Source organism: Homo sapiens, chromosome 12 (assembly GCF_000001405.40).
Source record: "Homo sapiens chromosome 12, GRCh38.p14 Primary Assembly".
NCBI classification, from domain to species: Eukaryota; Metazoa; Chordata; class Mammalia; order Primates; family Hominidae; genus Homo; species Homo sapiens.
Window position 1 is genome coordinate 1,236,911 of NC_000012.12, and position 20,083 is coordinate 1,256,993.

The 20,083-nt window shown below is 36.8% G+C and overlaps 1 protein-coding gene and 1 long non-coding RNA gene across 55 annotated transcripts in view, besides 1 other annotated feature; both read left to right on the top strand.

The window, feature by feature from the left end:
- On the top strand, positions 1–8,460 carry LOC124902854 (uncharacterized). Its single transcript, XR_007063154.1, has 2 exons — positions 1–6,453; positions 6,494–8,460. It is a non-coding gene; the product is annotated as an uncharacterized LOC124902854 (long non-coding RNA).
- Positions 1–20,083, top strand: part of ERC1 (ELKS/RAB6-interacting/CAST family member 1) — a 505,975-nt gene that overhangs the window by 246,952 nt on the left and 238,940 nt on the right. The window lies entirely within an intron of this gene.
- Positions 13,648–14,247: an enhancer, noted in NCBI's record as "NANOG hESC enhancer chr12:1359724-1360323 (GRCh37/hg19 assembly coordinates)". NCBI's record gives its function as "activates a minimal SCP1, AML or CMV promoter by ChIP-STARR-seq in primed H9 embryonic stem cells {active_cell/tissue: H9 hESC(primed)}" and the evidence as "EXISTENCE:reporter gene assay evidence [ECO:0000049][PMID:30033119]".

Genomic DNA, 20,083 nt, shown 5'->3' on the forward strand with positions numbered 1-20,083 from the left:
ACACAAGGAGAATCTGAAAGGATCGGGTGAAGACATTTGATCCGTAATCGCATGTTGTTTTTCTCTTCATCTTTATCCTCCTCTTTTTTCTCTTTCTAACCCTGCTTGCTGCCTTCCTCTCAGACCAACTGTTTAGCAATGAAGGAATGGCTTTAAGTAGAAAATGCAAGTTTTATTCCACAGCTTTATGAGGACACCTCAGCATAGGAGAAAGTTCATCTTGCTTCAAGTTGATCACACTTAATTGGTAAGTTCAATGACAGTTTAATGAGTGGGTTATATTAGGCTTCAGGGTTGTCAGTATACCTCTTTGCCAGTTCCATTCATTAAAATGGATTGCTAATCTTGGTTTGTGTCTTTCTTCCTTTTTTCTATTCTTCCTTTCTCTTTTCCTTCTACCTCTCTAACCTCCCTCTATCTTTCCTTCCTTTCCTCTTTTTAAATATTCAGTTTAGTAAGAATATTTTACAGTCATACAGAATGTGACATATAAACTGTATTTTTTCACTTCAGTGGAGTGATAATTGATGCCTAAACCTAATTATTCACAGATTAATTAAACCAGGCTCAACAACAGCAGTAGCAGCTACCATATTATAAGTGCCAGTTAGGTCCTCAGTATTTGAAACTAGGCTCTGGTCATTCATTTTGTTCTAACCTTCACAGTAATCCAAGTGGAGCAGGTGGTATTGTATACATTTTGCACCGGGGGAAATAGATTCAGAGACATTGTGTTACTTACGTAAATGCACACAGCTTCTAAATGGCTCAGCCATGATTTTAACTGGGACTTCCTGAATCTGTAGACTGTCCTCTTTGTCTTGATCATAATGCTTCAGAATGAAGGTGTAGATTATAGGGAAGAATACCATAAATGTGCTGGAGTCTCTGAAAGCCATGCTAAGACTAAGCCACTGCCAGATTGTTTTTCTCTAGTTAACAATTTCTAATTGGGTCTGATACTGTGTATATGCCGCAATTACAATCTTTACTGGAGAGATTTGGAGGGTTTACTATGTAGAAGCCATTCTGAGGCTTTACAACAAATTCTTTTAACATATGAAGAAGACTCTACTTTTTACTTCTTTTTCTCATTCCTCTTTTATGTAACTTTTACTGATTATGTTTATAGAAAAAGTATAAATTTCCTCAAATGCACCAAATTTTGCAAAAAGCAGCATGCCCGTTTTTCCTCATCCTTGCCAATAACAGTTAATATTGGCAGTTTTCTCATCTTTCTGTTCTTCCTCCTTTTTTTTTTTTTTAACAAAATACAAATCTGATGAGTGGTAAATATTTCATTCTGTGTTAATTTATATTTCTCTGATTACCAATGACATTGTTTTTTCAAGTCTTGAATTTTCTTTTGCTTGTTAATGTAATTTAAATCTCTCTTCCATTGTTAGGTTTTCCTCCCATGGATTTTTTGCTTAGTTTATCCACATTTTGAGAGTATATATTTACACATAAATACTTTTAAGTTGTTCTGTGCTTTCATATTTTTGCCTTTACTTTTTAATTCATTTTGTGGTATTTGTGTGGTGAGGATATTTTTTCTTTATTGCTAACAACTTCACAAGAATGTTTATAGGGAATTATTTCATTGCTCACAAACTTGAATTGATGTCTTTATATTTCATGAAATTAATGATGAGTCTGTTTCTAGGATTTCAGTTTAACCTCCCTTCTTGAACTATGGCCACATTGTTGTTTAATTCTAGAAAGTATTTATTTTATGATAAGGCAAGCCTCTCTTTATGTTAGCACTTTAACTGTTTCATTTGTCTTTCTTACCCTGCTCATCATTTAATGTTTTCTATTAGCAGTCTCTCTCTATAAACCAAAGATACTCTTCTAATCTTCTCTCAGTTGTTATAACACCAAAAGTGCTTTCATATGTAATCTCTTATTTCCTTTTTATATAAACTAAAAGATAAATAAGATAGATTATATTATTTATATTTTACCTATAGGGAAAACTAATTTAGAGTGGATGACTGGCTTCCCCAAGGTGTCTAAGTAAATGATAGATACCAAAGTTATGAAAAAGATAGCTGATGGCCATGTGCAAATTACACAGAGATGTAATTCATTCAAATACCGTGAAAAGAGCACTGGACTACAAGTTAGGATACTTAGGATCTGATCTCAGTTCTTTTACTAACTACTCAGTTACTTAAGTATATTTCTGTTTGTTTATTTATTTATTTACTTATTTGACAGACAGTCTTACTCTGTCACCTAGGCCGGAGTGCAGTTGTGTGATCCTCCTGTCTCAGCCTCCCAAGTAGCTGGGACTGCAGGCTTGTAATTTTTTAATTTTTTGTAGAGACAAAGTCTCACTATGTTGCCTTAGGCTGTTCTCGAACTCCTGGCTCCACACGAACCTCCTGCATCAGCCTCCCAAAGTGCTAGGACTATAGGCGTGAGCCACTGTGCCTGGCCCTATGGATCATATTTAGAGATTGCAATCTGGGTGTTAGGGGTACTCCCCACCACTGCGTTGTCATTTACAACAACATAATGAAGAAATACAGCCGGCCATCGTGGCTTATGCTAATCCTAGCGACTCGGGAGGTGAGATGAAGGATCACTTGAGACCAGAGTTCAAGACCAGCCTGAGCAACATAGACCCTGCCTCTAAAAAAATTTAAGAAATTAGCCTGGCAGGATGGTGTACACGTACGGTCCCAGCTACTGTAGAGGCTGAGACTGGAGAATTGCTTTATCCCAGGAGTTCAGGGTTGCAGTGAGCTGTGATTGTGCCACTATACTCCAGCGTATGTGACAGGGCAAGGCCCTGTCTCTAAAATAAATTAAATGAAAATAAAAGAAGTTAGGAATTCTTGGAGAAGTTACTCATTCCAGGATTAGAGCAAGAAATGTACAAGACAAACCTAAATTAGTGGTTCTCAAACTTGTGTGCGTTGGAGTTACATGGAGGGCTATTAGAAAAGTAGATTGCTGTCTCCTGTCCCTAGGGGTTTTGATTCAGTAAGTTTGGGGAAAGCCCCATGAATTTGCATTCTAATAAGTTCCTGGGTGATGATAAAATTCCTGGACCAGGAACCACATTTTGAAAAATCACTGCGCTATAGCATCATGCGATATGAAAAATTAAGAACCTATCAAAGACTACTGGGGTCATATAAGGATGGACAGAGGAGCAAGAATGAAGGGGCTATCACTGGCCTAGGATAGACAGTTTGAGCATAAGAAAGACTAATGAGCACAGTTGTTTAAAACAAAGTATTTTTAAATCCGGAAACTTCATTGTGAGACTATAAAAATAATTTGGAGATTGCTGGGACACCAGTGCCCTAACACTGGGATTTACTTTTTAAAATTCCAATGGTAGTAGGGGAAACATTGGCCATTTTTTGATAGTTTATTGAAGCTGAGTGGTGGTGACATGGGGTGTATGATATTATCTTTCCTATACTTTTGCATGTTTGAAATTGTCCCTAATAAAATGCTGGAAAAGAAAGATATCACTTAACCACTTGAAACTTTCGTATCTGTAAAATGAGTCTTAAGACAGATAAGACTTCACTCTTAGACTTTAGTGTGTCTTTCAGTTCTAAACTAGCTTTTTAACCATATTTGCGTAGCCCTGGAGTGGAGCCTGTGACTCTGGGTTCATTTCTTAGCCAAGCTCCTTATTTGTGTTTTCCCTTTACTTGAGAAATATTTTCCGTATTTTCCAAGTAACTCTTTTTTCATATCTTTGCTTGAATTTCATGGAGTTGGTTTCTTCTGTTTTTAAACTGAAGGTCATATAGCTTTGGTCGTATACCTTTGCTTTTGTCTAAAAATTATAAATTTTAATTAACATACTAGAAAAATTAATCCATAATATATATTTGTTTATATCCCTCTACATTTTCTTTTAAACTTTAATTTTACTTATTTGTAATACTAATATATATACACTCTTCCGTATTTTGCTTTTTAAAAACTTTATATCATTTAAACATTTCCATGAGTTATGTGTTTCATAATGATGCTTGTACTTACTATTTTCAGTTGAATCCAGAGTTCAGTAGCTTTATACACGTTCCTCTTTTTCTGGACATTTCTTAATTTTCAATTTTCACAGAGCAAATTTGTACAGATAAATTGTACCCAATTTGGTGATTTCCTTTGGCTATTCCTCAGAGCAAACTTACTCAAAGTATATGAAGTGTTGTAGCTTTTCTTAAATTTTTGTTACCAAAGATGAACTAATTTATAGTACTTCCAGCAGTTTGCAGGCATTCTGTTTTCCCTATAGCCACTTTGGTTCTATTTAATTTTTTGCTCATTTTACATATAATGGCGTCTTCAAGTTGTTATATTTCATTTCTTCAGTGACACTGTCCGTTTTTCACATGTAATGATCTATTATCTGAAATTTCCGTGTCAAATTTTAATTACATTTGCTACCTATCATGAAAATCTTTTCATATCACCTCCTTTGAATTGATATGTTATGAATTACATTGAGGAATGATGATTGTTACATATTTTTTCTTTTTCAGTCATTTTTCTTTTGAAATTTATTAGATTTTGTTGTTTAAACATCTTTTCAAAAAAATCTTTTAAATTGCTTATCTTGTCCTTTCAAGGCAATTTTTTCACTTAATATCCATTTGCAACAGAGTCAAGCATACTAGTTTCTTTTAGTTCTTTAGCTGTGTGTATGTGTTTGTTTCTTGTAAATGTTCATTGCTTTAATGCATGTGGAATTTATTTAACTTAACTTACAAAACATAGATTTAAAGTACTCTTTCTTTACCCTGATACCCAGTTCTCCTGGTAGCACTTAGTAAATAGGTATTCTTTAAAAAAATTTTAAATCTACCTAATCATATGCTACATAATCACACAGAAGTTTCCATTTCATTCTAGATTCATTGTTTTGTCTTTAATCCAATTTTTTGCATTTCTTCTTCTTCTTTTTTTTTTTTTTTTTTTTTTTTTTTGTGATGGAGTCTCTTGCCCTGTCCCCAAGGCTGGAGTGCAGTGGTGTGATCTCGGTTTGCTGCAACCTTCACCTCCTGGGTTCAAGTGATTCTCCTGCCTCAGCCTCCCGAGAAGCTGGGATTACACACCTGGCTAATTTTTTTGAATTTTTAGTAGAGTCGGGGTTTCACCATTTTGGCCAGGCTGGTCTGGAACTCCTGACCTCAGGTGATTCAGCCACCTCGGCCTCCCAAAGTGCTGGGATTATAGGCGTAAGCCCAGCCTTTTTGCATTTCTTTTGCCCTTTGTTTACAAAGTCAGTAGGTCATCTTCAACGTCATTAACTTTATCTCAAAACTTTTTTTCTAGGTAAATTTATCAGTTTTTTCAACAACCTTTGAAACATCATTTGAGTGTCTTTAGTTTGTTAAATTATACTAATAACTTAAAGAATATTATCACTTGTAATTTATTTAGTCATCTCCAGCCAGGAACTAAATTCATTCCTCTTTATTCCTATTTATGTTTATTATTTATCATGTTAAAAAAGATTTAAGGAATATAAAATATTTTCTAAAGAAAGCTAATATCCAGATTACAACCAAATTATTAAAGATTTGTGGTAGATAATAGAGAAGAAAAAGGCAAATGAAACTTCAAGCCATAAAAAGATGAAAAAAGTATTAGCAAATGCTCTTTATTGTATTCACCTATAAAATAACCTTTCTTCTTATGAAAACGGAGTCAAATTCCTTACAGAGCTCCTGTCTCTAAAGGTTGTGAGCATTAATGAGATGATACATGTAAAAGCTTCTATAAGAGCAAATGTTAACAGGATTGGACTAGGTAGTAGTAACATAACAGGTACAGTGGGTCCTCCATATCCATAGGTTCTGCATTTTTGGATTCAGCCAACGGTGGATTGACAATATTATGGAAAAAAACACCAATAAAACAGAATAATACAACAATAAAAAATAAATAGAAAATAATATAGTGTAACAGCTATTTACATAGTGTTTACATTGTATTGGGTATTAGAAGAAATCGAGGCCGGGCGCGGTGGCTCACGCCTGTAATCCCAGCACTTTGGGAGGCCGAGGCGGGTGGATCATGAGGTCAGGAGATCGAGACCATCCTGGCTAACAAGGTGAAACCCCGTCTCTACTAAAAATACAAAAAATTAGCCAGGCGCGGTGGCGGGCGCCTGTAGTCCCAGCTACTCGGGAGGCTGAGGCAGGAGAATGGCGTGAACCCGGGAAGCGGAGCTTGCAGTGAGCTGAGATTGCGCCACTGCAGTCCGCAGTCCGGCCTGGGCGACAGAGCGAGACTCCGTCTCAAAAAAAAAAAAAGAAAAAAAAAAAAGAAATCGAGAGATGATTTAAAATATATGCGAAGATGTGCATAGATTATCTGCAAATACGACAGCATTTTATATCAGGGACTTGCGCATCTGTGGATTTTCATATTCCAGGGGAGTGTTAGAACCAATCCCCAGAAGATACTGAGGTGCTATGTAGGGATGTAATGAAACGTGAGAGATACTGAGGTGCTATGTAGGGATGTAATGAAACGTGAGAGATACTGAGGTGCTATGTAGGGATGTAATGAAACGTGAGAGATACTGAGGTCCTACTGTAGGGATGTAATGAAACGTGAGAGATGCTATAATTTTCTTGTAAAAGGAGGCACTCACTTCATTAGGAGAGAACTTTTAATTTTTCCGGTAGGATTTTGTGAGAAATTTGCCTCGTGTTACTTCATTTAGAGCAGTGGTTCTCAAGTAAGGCTCAGTTTTGGCGCTAAGGAATCTTTGGCACTGTCTGGGGACATTTGCAACTTGAGGGGTGCTACCGGCATCTAGTGAGTAGAGTGCTGGGTGCTGCTAAACGTCCTGTAGTTCTCCGGATAGCCCCCACGGCAAAGAATTTCTCGGCCCACACTGCAAATAGTGCTGAAGTTTGAAACCACGTTTAGAAACACTTTGAATGCCAGTTCTTTATCCGAAGTGTTACTGTGGATGAAGTTTTCATGAATAGCTTTGGAAACCTAATACGTATGGCCATATTTATATTTTTTTCTATGTAGAGCTAAGACCAAAGCTGTTAAGTTAAAACTCTGTAGTGGCAGTGCCACAGTACCCAGTAATATCGCCTAGGTACATAGTTTTCTGGTACCGTACTCTAATTTGATGTGAAATAATGCTAGGAGAGTTGTGGTGAGTGAGTAATTTACATAACATACACAATAACCATCATTCTCGGGCACATAATTCCAGATTGAAGTTAATATACCACGTGATTGAAGTATTCTGTATTATTGTTAATGAAGACTTGGTACTCTAGAAGTATTTAATAATTGTCACACAATCGTAATCGAATGACTGGTTATATTTTTGGTGTGTCATAGAATAGTAGAATAGCAATTAATTATGTCTTCTTATTTTAATCATTTTTATCACAATGTTTTGTGTTTTAAATTTCTGGCTATTTAGGTGATCTCTTGATGTTTTCATGAAATAGGAGAAGTAAAGGGAAACACTACTACCTTATTTCTGTTTTTTGAAGGAATTATTTTAGTATTTCTACGTTAAGTATAATAATTCTAGTATTAAAATATTCATTAAGTGTTTTGTACTTAATGGTTTGTTTGTTTGTTTGTTTGTTTGTTTGTTTGTTTGTTTTTAAGACAGGGTCTTGCTCTATGACCCAGGCAGGAGTGCAGTGGTGTGATCTCAGCTCACTGCAGCCTCCTTCTACCGGATTCAAGTGATTCTCATGCCTCAGCCACCCGAGTAGCTGGGATTCCAGGCGTGTGCCACCATGCCTGGCTAATTTTGTGTGTCTGTTTTTATTAGAGACGGGGTTTCACCATGTTGGCCAGGCTGGTCCTAGCATCATGTGATCTGCCTGCCTCGGCCTCTACAAGTGCTGGGATTACAGGTGTGAACCAGCACACCTGGCCTTATACTTAATGTTTTGAATAGTTTATGTTTAATCTTTATCAGATGCCGTTTTGATATTCAAAGGTCAGTTTTGCTAGTTACGTTAAAAAGCACGTAGTAAATTTATTTTATTTGTGAAGATTAACACTTGACCTGCAGGGTTCATTTTCACTTTTTGTTATTCAGCGACTGCCACTTGTGATGTTAAGTTCATCACTGGCTTCACTGTTCCAGGTAGAAGTTACAGTTTGCCAGAGAGCAGTAGTACTACTTTTCTATTTTTTCTCTTTTTTAACTCTGAAAAATAAAATACATTTTTAAAGTATGCACATGCACATGTAGATGTGCCGTGTAAAGAATACTTATAACATGATCATCTCGAGAAATTGGAGTATTGTTGGCATCCCAGAAATCATATGTGTATTTCTTTGCTATCATTTTTCTCTTCTGTTCCTCTAGAGATTACTATTCTGACTTTTCTTCTTCTTTGCTTTTCTTTATGACCTGCACATATATCAAAAAGTATAATTTAGTTTTGTATATTTTGTACTTCAATAAATGGAATTACTGTATTTATTCTTTTGTCACTTCTTTTGTTGATCATTATTTGTGAGATTCATTTGTATTAGTTATATGTAGCATCCATTCCTTTATTGTCCTTGTACTGTGTTTATTTAATTCAGAATTCCACATTTATATTGAAAGTGCTCTGAAAAGATGATTCATTTCTTTTCAATTTTCCATTCTTTGAATACTTCAGATAGTACCAAAAGTAATTCCTTTTGGCAGAAAGTGAGTTTAGAAGTAAGTGGTTACTTTGCTTTTTGTTTTTGGTTCAACACATTAAAAATGTTCTGATTGGATTAAACACTGTCTTACATGTGAAATGAAAATGATACCTGAAAAACTAAGAGAATCTGAGGATCCCAGAGATTCTAAACACTTTTTTGTCATTTATCATGGCCTTAGATATGAATACTCTTCCTTACGATGTCATGGTGCCACTCAGTTGTATCCTATTTCTACCTTTGTGTTTTGGACAGTTAATTACTGTGATTTATAGTAACTTATCTCATACTTTTTGGTCTCAGAAGCCTCTTTGCATTTAAACATTATTAAAGTTCCCAAAGTGATTTTTTTTTCTTTTTTTAAATAGAGACTGAGTCTTAACTATGTTGCCCAGGCTGGTCTCGAACTCCTGGCCTCAAGTGATGCTCTCACCTTGGCCTCCCAGGGTGCTGGGATTATAGGCGTGAGCCACTGCACCAGGCCTCAAAGTGATTTTTTTATATGGGTTATATATGATATACATGTGCAGATCTTTTGACCCAGCTATCCCATGTCGTAGATTTATATGCATATACATGTCCAAAAATATAAAAATACATATGTACAAGGTGACTTATAACATTATTCGTAATTGCAAAATTTTGAAAACCTAATTGCCTATAGGTGGGAGAGTGCTTAAATTCACCATGGTGAATCTACACAAAGGAGACTGGCAGTTTTAAAAAAGAAATGAAACGTGAGCAAAAGAAAAAAAAAAGATAGTATTTTAATCGTGAATGAAATACATATCCATGAGTTTATGCTGATATAAATAAGTAATCAAATACATAAATAAATGGCATATGGACAGACGGCTCTTTCTCATAGAAGAATTTCAGTTAATAAGTATAGATGGAAATAGACCAAAAGAAAATCACCATGAGACAAACTGATGGTTGTGAAAGTTAGTGTGTGAAAGTTTGAGGTTAAACATGGCTTTCATAGTCTCAAAATGTTTTCTCTAAGGTGTTTATTTATTTTAACAGAAGACTAACTTTTCAGTGAAGAAACCTACCAGGACACCTTAACAAAGTGTTTAGAGTTAACATTACCAGTAATAAAGAGACATTGACCTCATGAACCCCTTGATACAAGGCACTGAGAGGGACACAATATCATTTCTGTGTTATTCTTTCCAAAAATGTGTAGCCTCATTCCAGTAATGAGAAAATGCCAGACAAATGCAAATTCTGGGACATTTTACGACATAACTGAGCAGTACACTTTAAATATGTCAAGATGATGAAAGACAAGGAAAGACTGAGCAGTTACAGATGTATTCGAGGGGAAATGTCAGCTAAATGAATTGTGGGATCTTGGATTAAAGCAGATTTCAGGAAAAGGAACAGAAAATTAGCTGGGTATAGTGGTGCATACCTATAGTCCCAGCTACTTGGGAGGCTGAAGAGGGAGGATCACTTGAGCCCAGGAGTTTGAGGTTGCAGTGAGCCCAGGAGTTTGAGGTTGCAGTGAGCCCAGGAGTTTGAGGTTGCAGTGAGCCCAGGAGTTTGAGGTTGCAGTGAGCCCAGGAGTTTGAGGTTGCAGTAAGCCCTGTTTGCGCCACTGCGCTTCAGCCTGCAAGACAGAGTGAGACCCTGTCTCAAAAAAAGAAAAAAAAAATCCGGAAAGAAAGGACATTGGTGGAAAAACAATGAAAGGACATTGGTGGAAAAACAATGAAAGTAAGGTTCTCAGGTTGGTAAATAGCATTGTACCAGTGTTAATTTCCCAGTTTTGATCATCTTACTATGGTTATGTAAACCATAAACATTACAGGAGCCTGTATAAGGAGCAGATGGGCACTGTTCTGTTTTTGCAGCTTTTCTGTATGTTCATAATTAATTCAGAATAAAAGTTTTATTTAACAAATGTATTGACACTATATTTCTCAGCACTTTTAATCACCCAGTTCACTTTGCCATCTCTTTGAAATAAGTATGCTTTGGAATTTAAAAATGTCTTACTACCAAAATTAACATAACAGGTTAGTTAGCTCAGGCATTTTTCCTGAATTTAGGAATGCAGATATTATGTTCTCATATTGTTGACTTCGTAAACCCGTAGTTTAATTAGGAATGTAGCTGATCAGGCCGGGCACGGTGGCTCATGCCTGTAATCCCAGTACTTTGGGAGGCTGAGGTGGGTGGATCACCTGAGGTCAGGAGTTCAAGACCAGCATGACCAACATGGAGAAACCCCATCTCCACTAAAAATAGAAAAGTAGCCGGGTGTGGTGGCACATGCCTGTAATCCCAGCTACTCAGGAGGCTGAGGCAGGAGAATCGCTTGAACCTGGGAGGTGGAGGTTGCGGTGAGCCGAGATCATGCAACTGCACTCTAGCCTGGGCAACAACAGCAAAACTGCATCTCAAAAAAATAAAAATAAAAAGGATGTAGCTAATCAAGTTGATCGTTCTAAAGATTAGACTCAAATCCTCAAGCCATGATGATGTAATATGGCTATTATCAGTAGAGTTATACCTAGACCTAGAGATGAACCTTGACCTGTCTGTATCCTTCAAGTATAGAAGGTTTAATTTTACTCATTTTTAAACATACTTGAGATGTCTTTCATTTTTTCAATATAAATTTATCGAATGCTTTCTAAGTGTCAGGCACTGTTGCTAATCTTTGGTTATACAGCAGTGAAAAGACATGTTCTCCGCCCTTCTGGAACATTGTCTCATGGAAAAACAATAAAACTAAACAAATAAGTAAATATCAATCAGGGTAAGTACTACAAAGAAATAAACAGGACACTGTGATAGATGATGGGGGAGGGAAATATTTTGGGCAACAAATTTAGGTAGTGACATCAGAGGAGTCCTCCCAAAGGATATTGAGATCTGAAAAAGCCTTATAAAAAGTGGAGAAGACAAAAAATTGAGGTTACCCATATGGCAGTGAAAAGCTTGGCATTTTCAAAGTAGAGAATAGGTAAGGGTCAGGTCAAAAGGGACCTTATAGGCCATGAAAAGAAGTTTAGATTTTACAAGTAGTGAAACAGTCTACGTGAAAAGTTGACAGGATCTGATTCGCATTTTCAGGATACTGTTTTTTGCAATATCTGGAGGATGATTGGAGTGGGACAAGAGTCATACAAAAGTGTTTGCTCACTGTTTCATACCTTTGTGTGCTGTGCAGTTTTCTATGCTAGAAACAGTAATGTTGCACGAGACAAACAAGCTTCTTTCTCTTAAGAAGCTCACATTCTGGTAAGGGCTCTGTGAGAATTGAGGAGAGAGGTTTTTATTTATATTTAAAAAAAAATTTTTGGAGACAGACTCGCTCTGTCACTCAGGCTGCAGTGCAGTGGCATGATCATAGTTCACTGCAGCCTCAAACTCCTGGACTTAAGCGATTCTCCTGCCTCAGCCTCTGGAGTATCTGGGACTATAGGGGTGTGCCACCACACCTGGCTAATTTTTTTTTTCTTCTTATTTTAAGTAGAGACTGAGTCTTGCTGTGTTGCCCAGTCTGGACTTGAACTCCTGGCCTCAAGCAGTCCTTCTGCCTTAGCCTCCAAAATGCATGGATTATACTTTACATTACTTATTATAACTTTTTATTTCTGCTGGCTGTCAAAAGATGTGTTATAATACAAGTACAATAATTTCAATTATAGTAATTGCTATACGCAGAACTGAAATTAGGTAAATTCCAGCAACAGCAAGAACCTTTCAAATAAAACATATAGAAGCATAGTCTTAGCTGATTTGGCTGTTGGTGAATTGGGGATTAAAAAAAGCTTTCTCTTGAAAGCCTACCCATCTTTTAAGGGTCAGATGCTTTTTCTTGCGAAGCTGCCTAAATCCTCGCAGTTGGAATTAATCATACCTTCTGTTGTAATTTCATTAGTTTGTTTCTGCATTGATTTGGGGATTATTTTATATTACTTTGTATTATATGCTAATTGTGTGCTGGTTCTTCTGCATACTTGAGCTTGGGGACCATGTCTTGGTATTTTACATATAGTTGGTACTTCATAAATGCTTATTGATTTTAATTGTATCTATAGATGTCAAGAACGTTCTGTCACATGCATCTTAGCCTGGTCTCTTAGTCTATTTGGGCTGCTATAGCGAAATACTGTAAACTGGCTAGCTTATAAACAACAGAAATTTATTTCTCACAGTTCTGTGCCTGGAAAGTCCAAGATCAAGGAACCAGCAGATTTGGTGTCTGGTACAGGTCCACTTTCTGGTTCATAGGTAGCACCTTCTTGTTGTGTCCTCACATGGTGGAAGGGGCAAGGCAGCTCTCTGCAGCCTCTTTTATAAGGGCATTTAATGCCATTCATGAGGGCTCTGCTCTCATGACCTAATGACCTCCCAAAAGCTCCACCTCCTAATACCATCACATTGGTGATTAGATTTCAACGTTTGAATTTTGGGAGCACACAAAATTCAGATTCTGATTCTGATCTGATCTGATTCAGATCATTGCACCTGGCATTTGGAGCCTCCTATTAAAGCAAGCTCTGTTTTAACCTCATCTTGAGGTCAGATGCTTGGCTTCTCTGTTTTACACAAGCTGACAGTGTTGGTTTCTTTGAATATAACACGTTGTTTTCCTAATGTATGCTCTTCTACTTCTGCAGAATCTTTTTCCTGTGGATTTCCAGTTTTACTACATAAAGATTCTGCCTTCAAATTAACTTTTGTTGATGAACTCTGCCTGGACTTGTTATTGCCTTATCCATTGTTCCTTAGCCTGAATGTTTAATCATGCTTTATTGTTTACATACTTTTCAATACATTGTTTTATAATTGCCCCTGTGTGATTTAACCCATTTAATTTTCCCTTCTCAGCTAGTTTATATCTGCCATAAGTGAAGAATTACTTTAAAATTTCTTTTTAGTTTTTCTTAAACACTGTTTTGCATAGGTTCATTAATTATAGCTGTACTTATTGAGTTATAAATAATAAAATTTAATTTAGTTATAATTTTTTTGGAACTGAATGATATTCCATTCAGCATCCTAATAAATATTCTCTAAAATTCTGTAGGCTATCCTTTAAGAGCCTTGTATGTTTTAACACAGGAAATGCCATCTTCCCTTAGTTGAGAATATTAATTCTTTGAGCAGTGACACTCAGATACACCTTTCAGCAAGGCTGTAAGTTTTAGTCACGTCCTAATAATGCAAAGTAGAGTGGACTGAAAGGAGGCTCCTATCAATAGTGGTTTGGGGCTTTGTTTTCCTTTATAACAAAGATAAGTATCTGAATTTAACCTTGAAAGAGGTTGTTGTGAGAGAGATTAATGGAATGCTGTGGTGCTGTGAGACAGCTCTCCCGAAACCAATGAATATTAAGAATAAAGTTCAAAGAAAGTGAAAACAATGGAAATAGAGCCGGGGAAAATCAGCTTTACATATATTTAAGCATATTCTCTTCTTAGATATATAGTCAATGAAACATTTGTGTTTTTCTCTGTAATTTGATTTAACTCTGTCTACAAAAACAGTTTCTTCATTTTGATAAGAGATTTTTTTTCCTTTCTGAGAATGAACACTACTTATCCTTCATTTTTAGATTTGCCAGGGGGATAATTATTTAAGAAAGCCTTTTATAAACATTAAGATTGACATCTTTTTAGGAATACTATTTCTAGAAATAGTATGTGATTTGTCACATGCTGGATACATCTAATATATTAATGTTCCTGTTTTTGCAAAAATAAATTTTGATTTCCTGTTTCTAGAACTTTTCCTTCACCTATTTAAATGTTTAATCCTGTATCATTTCTTCCTTTTTAATAAAAATTTTTTCTTAGTAAAACAGGGCTTTTTCTATATAGAATATTGTCGTAGGTGAGTTTTTATGGTGTTCTTAATGAATATTAGAGTAACGGATCACAATGGAAAAGTGTGCATATAAATCAGCATCTGTTTTTACATCCCTGTGGATAGTTGCTGAAATTACGCATGAAAATTCTCTTTTACTGCAGGTGAAGCACCTACACAAATTGTTGGTTATGTGTGCAGCTTTTAAAAACTCCTATCTCAAACTGGGCCACTTTTTACCATTTAGAAAGAAAGCAAAAACACGGCTTAACATTACTTTTTAAAATTCTGCAGTGTTTGAAATGGACTCTGTAGTACTTTTCCCTCTGGCCACATGTCAGTTCAATTTAATAGCAGTGAAATTTATTGAAAGACTTTATTGATAGGACTAATGTGCTCTCCATAAAATGATGAATAAAATTACATTAGGCACTAAAATTATTAAAAACTGGACTACTAAGTTCTCACTTTAGTGAAATGAATGGTTTACTCCTTTCCTTTGTGTTGTGTGAGCTCTTCTTGGTTTGCATTTGGAAGGAAAAGTCTCCAATGAGATTCTTTTTTTTCTTAAATTTTATTTTTAATTATAATGGATACATAATAGTTATACATATTTACGAGGTACACATGATGTTTTGATACAAGCATGTAATGTGTAATGATCAGATCTGGGTAATTAGGGTACTCATCCCCTCAAGCATTTATCATTTCTCTGTGTTAGGAACGTTATAATTCTATTCTTTTAGGTATTTTAACATGTACAACAAAGTGTTGTTAGTTATAGTTGCCTTATTATGCCACTGAATGCTAATCCTGTTATTTTTTAAGAGAACAGAAGCAGGTATGCAAATAGTCCATTTTCTAAGACCTCAGAAGCAAAGGTCAGCCTCTTATGGGCCACATCAGTTGTCTGTTATTTTAAGGAAAAGATATTTTTGGGATTTTTTGGTAAAGACTTTGAAAAGGTATGCTTGTTCTTTTTATAAGCATTACAGATCAAAGATTTATAGTGTCCTAGGATTAGGTAAACTCCATGTCCTTGCCCAAGTTTCTCATACTCAGCTACCATGATTTTCAAGATGAGACCCTTCCCAGTCTGTATGGGATATTTGTACTCTATGCTCTGTAAAATTTATTGATATAAAGCATCATTTTTATATGTGTACTTTTCTGTTTATTTAATGAAATACATCTGCTTTTGTTTTGACTTTGGTTTTTAACAATTGGGGTTATAACAGAGCACCACTCTTAACTGAGGGGAGACATTTGAGGTGTTTTAAGGAGAAGGAGGGAGAGAATATTTTTAAATTTTAACCCACAGTATTGCCTTAAAGTAGTTGGTGTGTAACCAAATTCTGTCTCTGTGTTGTGCTAGCTTTCACTTCATCAGTGCATCTGGCTTCAATTTTTTTCCCCACAAAGCATCTGAGAAGTTGGTAAATGAATTCTGACATGTTGAATGATTTTAATGAAATCTTCTGGATGTGTATATATGCTTAGGGGATGGGGAAGAGGGAGGCAGAATAAGCAGTGGGGTTGAAGGTAACAAAGAATTACTGTCTCTTTACGTTAAGGATAATGGATAACAGTTAACATTAATATCTTTCAGAACAGGTTAAAGTCTGTCTGGTAAGTGGTGTTTACTTCCAAGGAAGCAGCTCTTATTATTAATTCAAATAAATGACTTCCATTACCGTGTCAGAATGAGAGCTGGGAGAGGGAGGAGAGAATGTGGGAGATTGTTACTTTGGATAATCTTTGTGAAATCTGAATTGGCCTTCTTTCTGCTGCAGAAAAAGGCAAAAGCTTAGGGAGATCTACCATCATCAAGTAGCTCTTTTTTATGTGACTATACTGTAGGGCCTTGTTAACAATTTTTGAGGGAGATGTTTGAGGGAACAACAAATTAAATTTTAATTGCAGTTTCTCCTCTGCCTTTGCTTTTCTGATTGAATGTTTGATTGGAAAGAAAGGCAGCTAGCTGGGTGTGGTGGCTCACACCTGTAATCCCAGCACTTTGGGAAGCCGAGGCGGGCAGATCACCTGAGGTCAGGAGTTCGAGACTAGCCTGACCAACATGTAGAAACCTTATCTCTATGAAAAATACAAAATTCGCCAGGCGTGGTGGTGCATGCCTGTAATCCCAGCTACTCTGGAGGCCGAGGCAGGAGAATTGCTTGAACCCAGGAGGTGGAGGTTGTGGTGAGCCGAGATCACGCCATTGCACTCCAGCCTGGGCAACAAGAGGGAAACTGCATCTCAAAGAAAAAAAAAGGCAGTGGAGGGTAGAGTCTTACAGCTCAGTGATGTGTAGCTTGGTGTTGACAGAGCTGACATCAAGAAGTAAAGTTCTGAGAGATGTATTGGGAGTGGTATCATGGGAGTTGCTATAGAGTCCAGTCTCTCCCTGTTAATCTGCCTGAGTGAAGCTATAGTTAGGCTGTCCCAACTTCTGCCCTAGTCTCTTTGAATATAGGAGTCTTCTTCTTTAAGGAGATGAGGGATTCTTTGAAAGGTCTTCCTTCTTCTCCCTCTACCAGACCCCTCAAAGTAGTCACACAAACCTCCTGCCGTGAACCCTGTACTCTGTGAGTGAAGTATTCGTATTTGATTTCAGCAAATATGTGAGGCTGGCAAAAGTAGGCTTCAGTTACATAATCCAATGGTAGGAAAAATGGTCTGGGTTCGTTTTGGTGAGTGCAAATGTGGTTAATAGCAGTTGAAGTAAAACTCTAAAGATACTGCTTTCATTTTAGGTGATATGAACTATTTAAAATGATAAAGCATGTTCCTTTGCTATCTCTAGATAGCTATTAAGTGAGATGTCTGTGACACACAGTACATTTCTAAATTTTGGGTTGCCTGAATTGTTTAAGCAGAGTAAAATAGCCAAGTTAGGGCAGGTGCATGGAATAAAACTCTCTCTCTACTTAGTCTTATTCCCCTAGGCTGCCAATTTAATGCTTTTTTCTAATTAGTGAGTGCTATAAAATGGCTTATCTCCAAACAGTACCTGTGTTAATGGCAAAAACCACAATTACTTTGGCACCAACCTAATAATTCCCCTTTGTAATTTTTTTAAATTTTATTTTTATTTTATTTTATATATTTTTTTGAGCCAAAGTCTTACTCCCTCTCCCAGGCTGGAGTGTGGTGGCATAGTCTTGGCTCACTGCAACCACCGCCTCCCCGGTTCAGGCAATTCTCCCTGCCTCAGCCTCCCGAGTGGCTGGGATTACCGGTGTGCATCACCACCCAGGATAATTTTTGTATTTTTAGTAGAGATGTGGTTTCACCATGTTGGCCAGGCTGGTCTTGAACTCCTGACCTCAGGTGATCCACCCACCTTGGCTTCCCAAAGTGCTGGGATTACAAGCTTAATTTTTAATTGACAAATAATAATCGTACGTATGTATGGTGATGTTTGAATACATGTATACATTGTGGAATGATCAAATCAGGCTAATTAACATATCCATCACCTCACATACTTGTCATTTCTTTGTGGTGAGAACATCTCAAATCCACTTTTTTTTTTTTTTTAATACTTTAAGTTCTGGGTTTCATGTGCAGAATGTGCAGTTTTGTTACATAGGTATACATGTGCCATGGTGAGTTGCTGCACCCATCAACCTGTCACCTACATTAGCTATTTTCTCCTAATGTTATCCCTCCCCCAGCCCCAAACCCCCCCAACAGGCCCCAGTGTGTGATGTTCTCCTCCCTGTGTCCATGTGTTCTGATTGTTCAACTCCCACTTATGAGTGAGAACATGCGGTGTTTGGTTTTCTGTTCTTGTGTTAGTTTGCTGAGAATTAGGGTTTCCAGCTTCATCCATGTCCCTGCAAAGGACATGAGCTTATCCTTCTTTATGGCTGCATAGTATTCCATGGTATATATGTGCCACATTTGCTTAATCCAGTCTATCGCTGATGGACATTTAGGTTGGTTCCAAGTCGTTGCTATTGTGAACCGTGCCACAATAAACATTCGTGTGCATGTATCTTTATTATAGAATGATTTATAATCCTTTGGGGTATATACCCAGTAATGGGATTGCCGGGTCAAATGGTATTTCTAGTTCTAGATCCTTGAGGAATCACCACACTGTCTTCCACAATGGTTGAACTAATTTACACTCCCACCAACAGTATAAAAGCATTCCTGTTTTTCCACAACCTCTTCAGCATCTGTTGCTTCCTGGCCTTTTTTTTTTTTTTTTTTTTTTTTTTTTTGAGACGGAGTCTCATTCTGTTGCCCAGGCTGGAGTGCAGTGGCGTGATCTCGGCTCACTGCAAGTTCTGCCTCCCGGGTTCACGCCATTCTCCTGCCTCAGCCTCCCGAGTAGCTGGGACTACAGGCACCCACCACCACTCCTGGCTAATTTTTTTTTGTATTTTTTTTTAGTAGAGACGGGGTTTCACCATGTTAGCCAGGATGGTCTCAATCTCCTGACCTCGTGATCCGCCCACCTCAACCTCCCAAAGTGCTGGGATTACAGGCGTGAGTTTAATGATCGCCATTCTAACAGGTGTGAGATGGTATCTCATTGTGGTTTTGATTTGCATTTCTCTAATGACCAGTGATGATGAGCATTTTTCAAGTCTGTTGGCTACATAAATGTCTCCTTTTGAGAAGTGTCTGTTCATATCCTTTGCCCATTTTTTGATGGGGTTTGCTTTTTTCTTGTAAATTTGTTTAAGTTCTTTGTAGATTCTGGATATTAGCCCTTTGTCAGATGGATAGATTGCAAAAATTTTCTCCCATTCTGTAGGTTGCCTGTTCACTCTGATGAAATCTACTTCTTTAAAAACAATTTTGAAATACACAGTTGTAATTTAAAATTAGACTCTGTTTTTGCCTTTTTTTTTTTTTATAACTTTTTCCCTTGTCTACTTTAAGACTAGAAGCAGTTATAATGAAAATTCATGAGGAAACAGGAGTTTAAAGAGGGTCTTTATTCAGTGGGGGCCAATAGACTCTGAGTATTTCGTTCTCAGACTAAAAAAAAAAAAAAAAAGTTGATTCCCCAAACAGTCAAATGTGAGGATTCACTCAAATGTGATGACTAAGCTTATTGATAAACCTCCATTGTATATCTCTTAAAACATTTGCCCAATTTTTTTTCAGCTGAACTTTGATGATTGGCCTATCACTGAGTATTCTTGGTGTTGAACTATTTATGAATACGTTGGATTACTCTAATTTATAATCATAGTCACAAGAAAATATTTTATTAGAGTTCAAATCACTTGCAGAGTTTATTCTGAATAATTCCTGACATAATGCATATCTTGCTGGTTTCACATTCAGTGAAATGCTGAGCCATATCTCAATTCTGTAGTCTCCATAATATCTGCCTTTATATTTTAGGTATGTTTGGGTTCCATTTTAATATAGTCTCATACCAACAGCTGTGTTTTTATAATTGAGGTCCTGTTAGCCTAAAAGGCATTTTTCTTGGAGAAGAAATTTTGTCTTCATTGATAATCCAGTTTTGTTATACTGGAGCTACATCCTCAGGTTCTATAATACCCATCCTTCAGTTTGACTCCAAGTCATCCTTACCTCCTGGCGT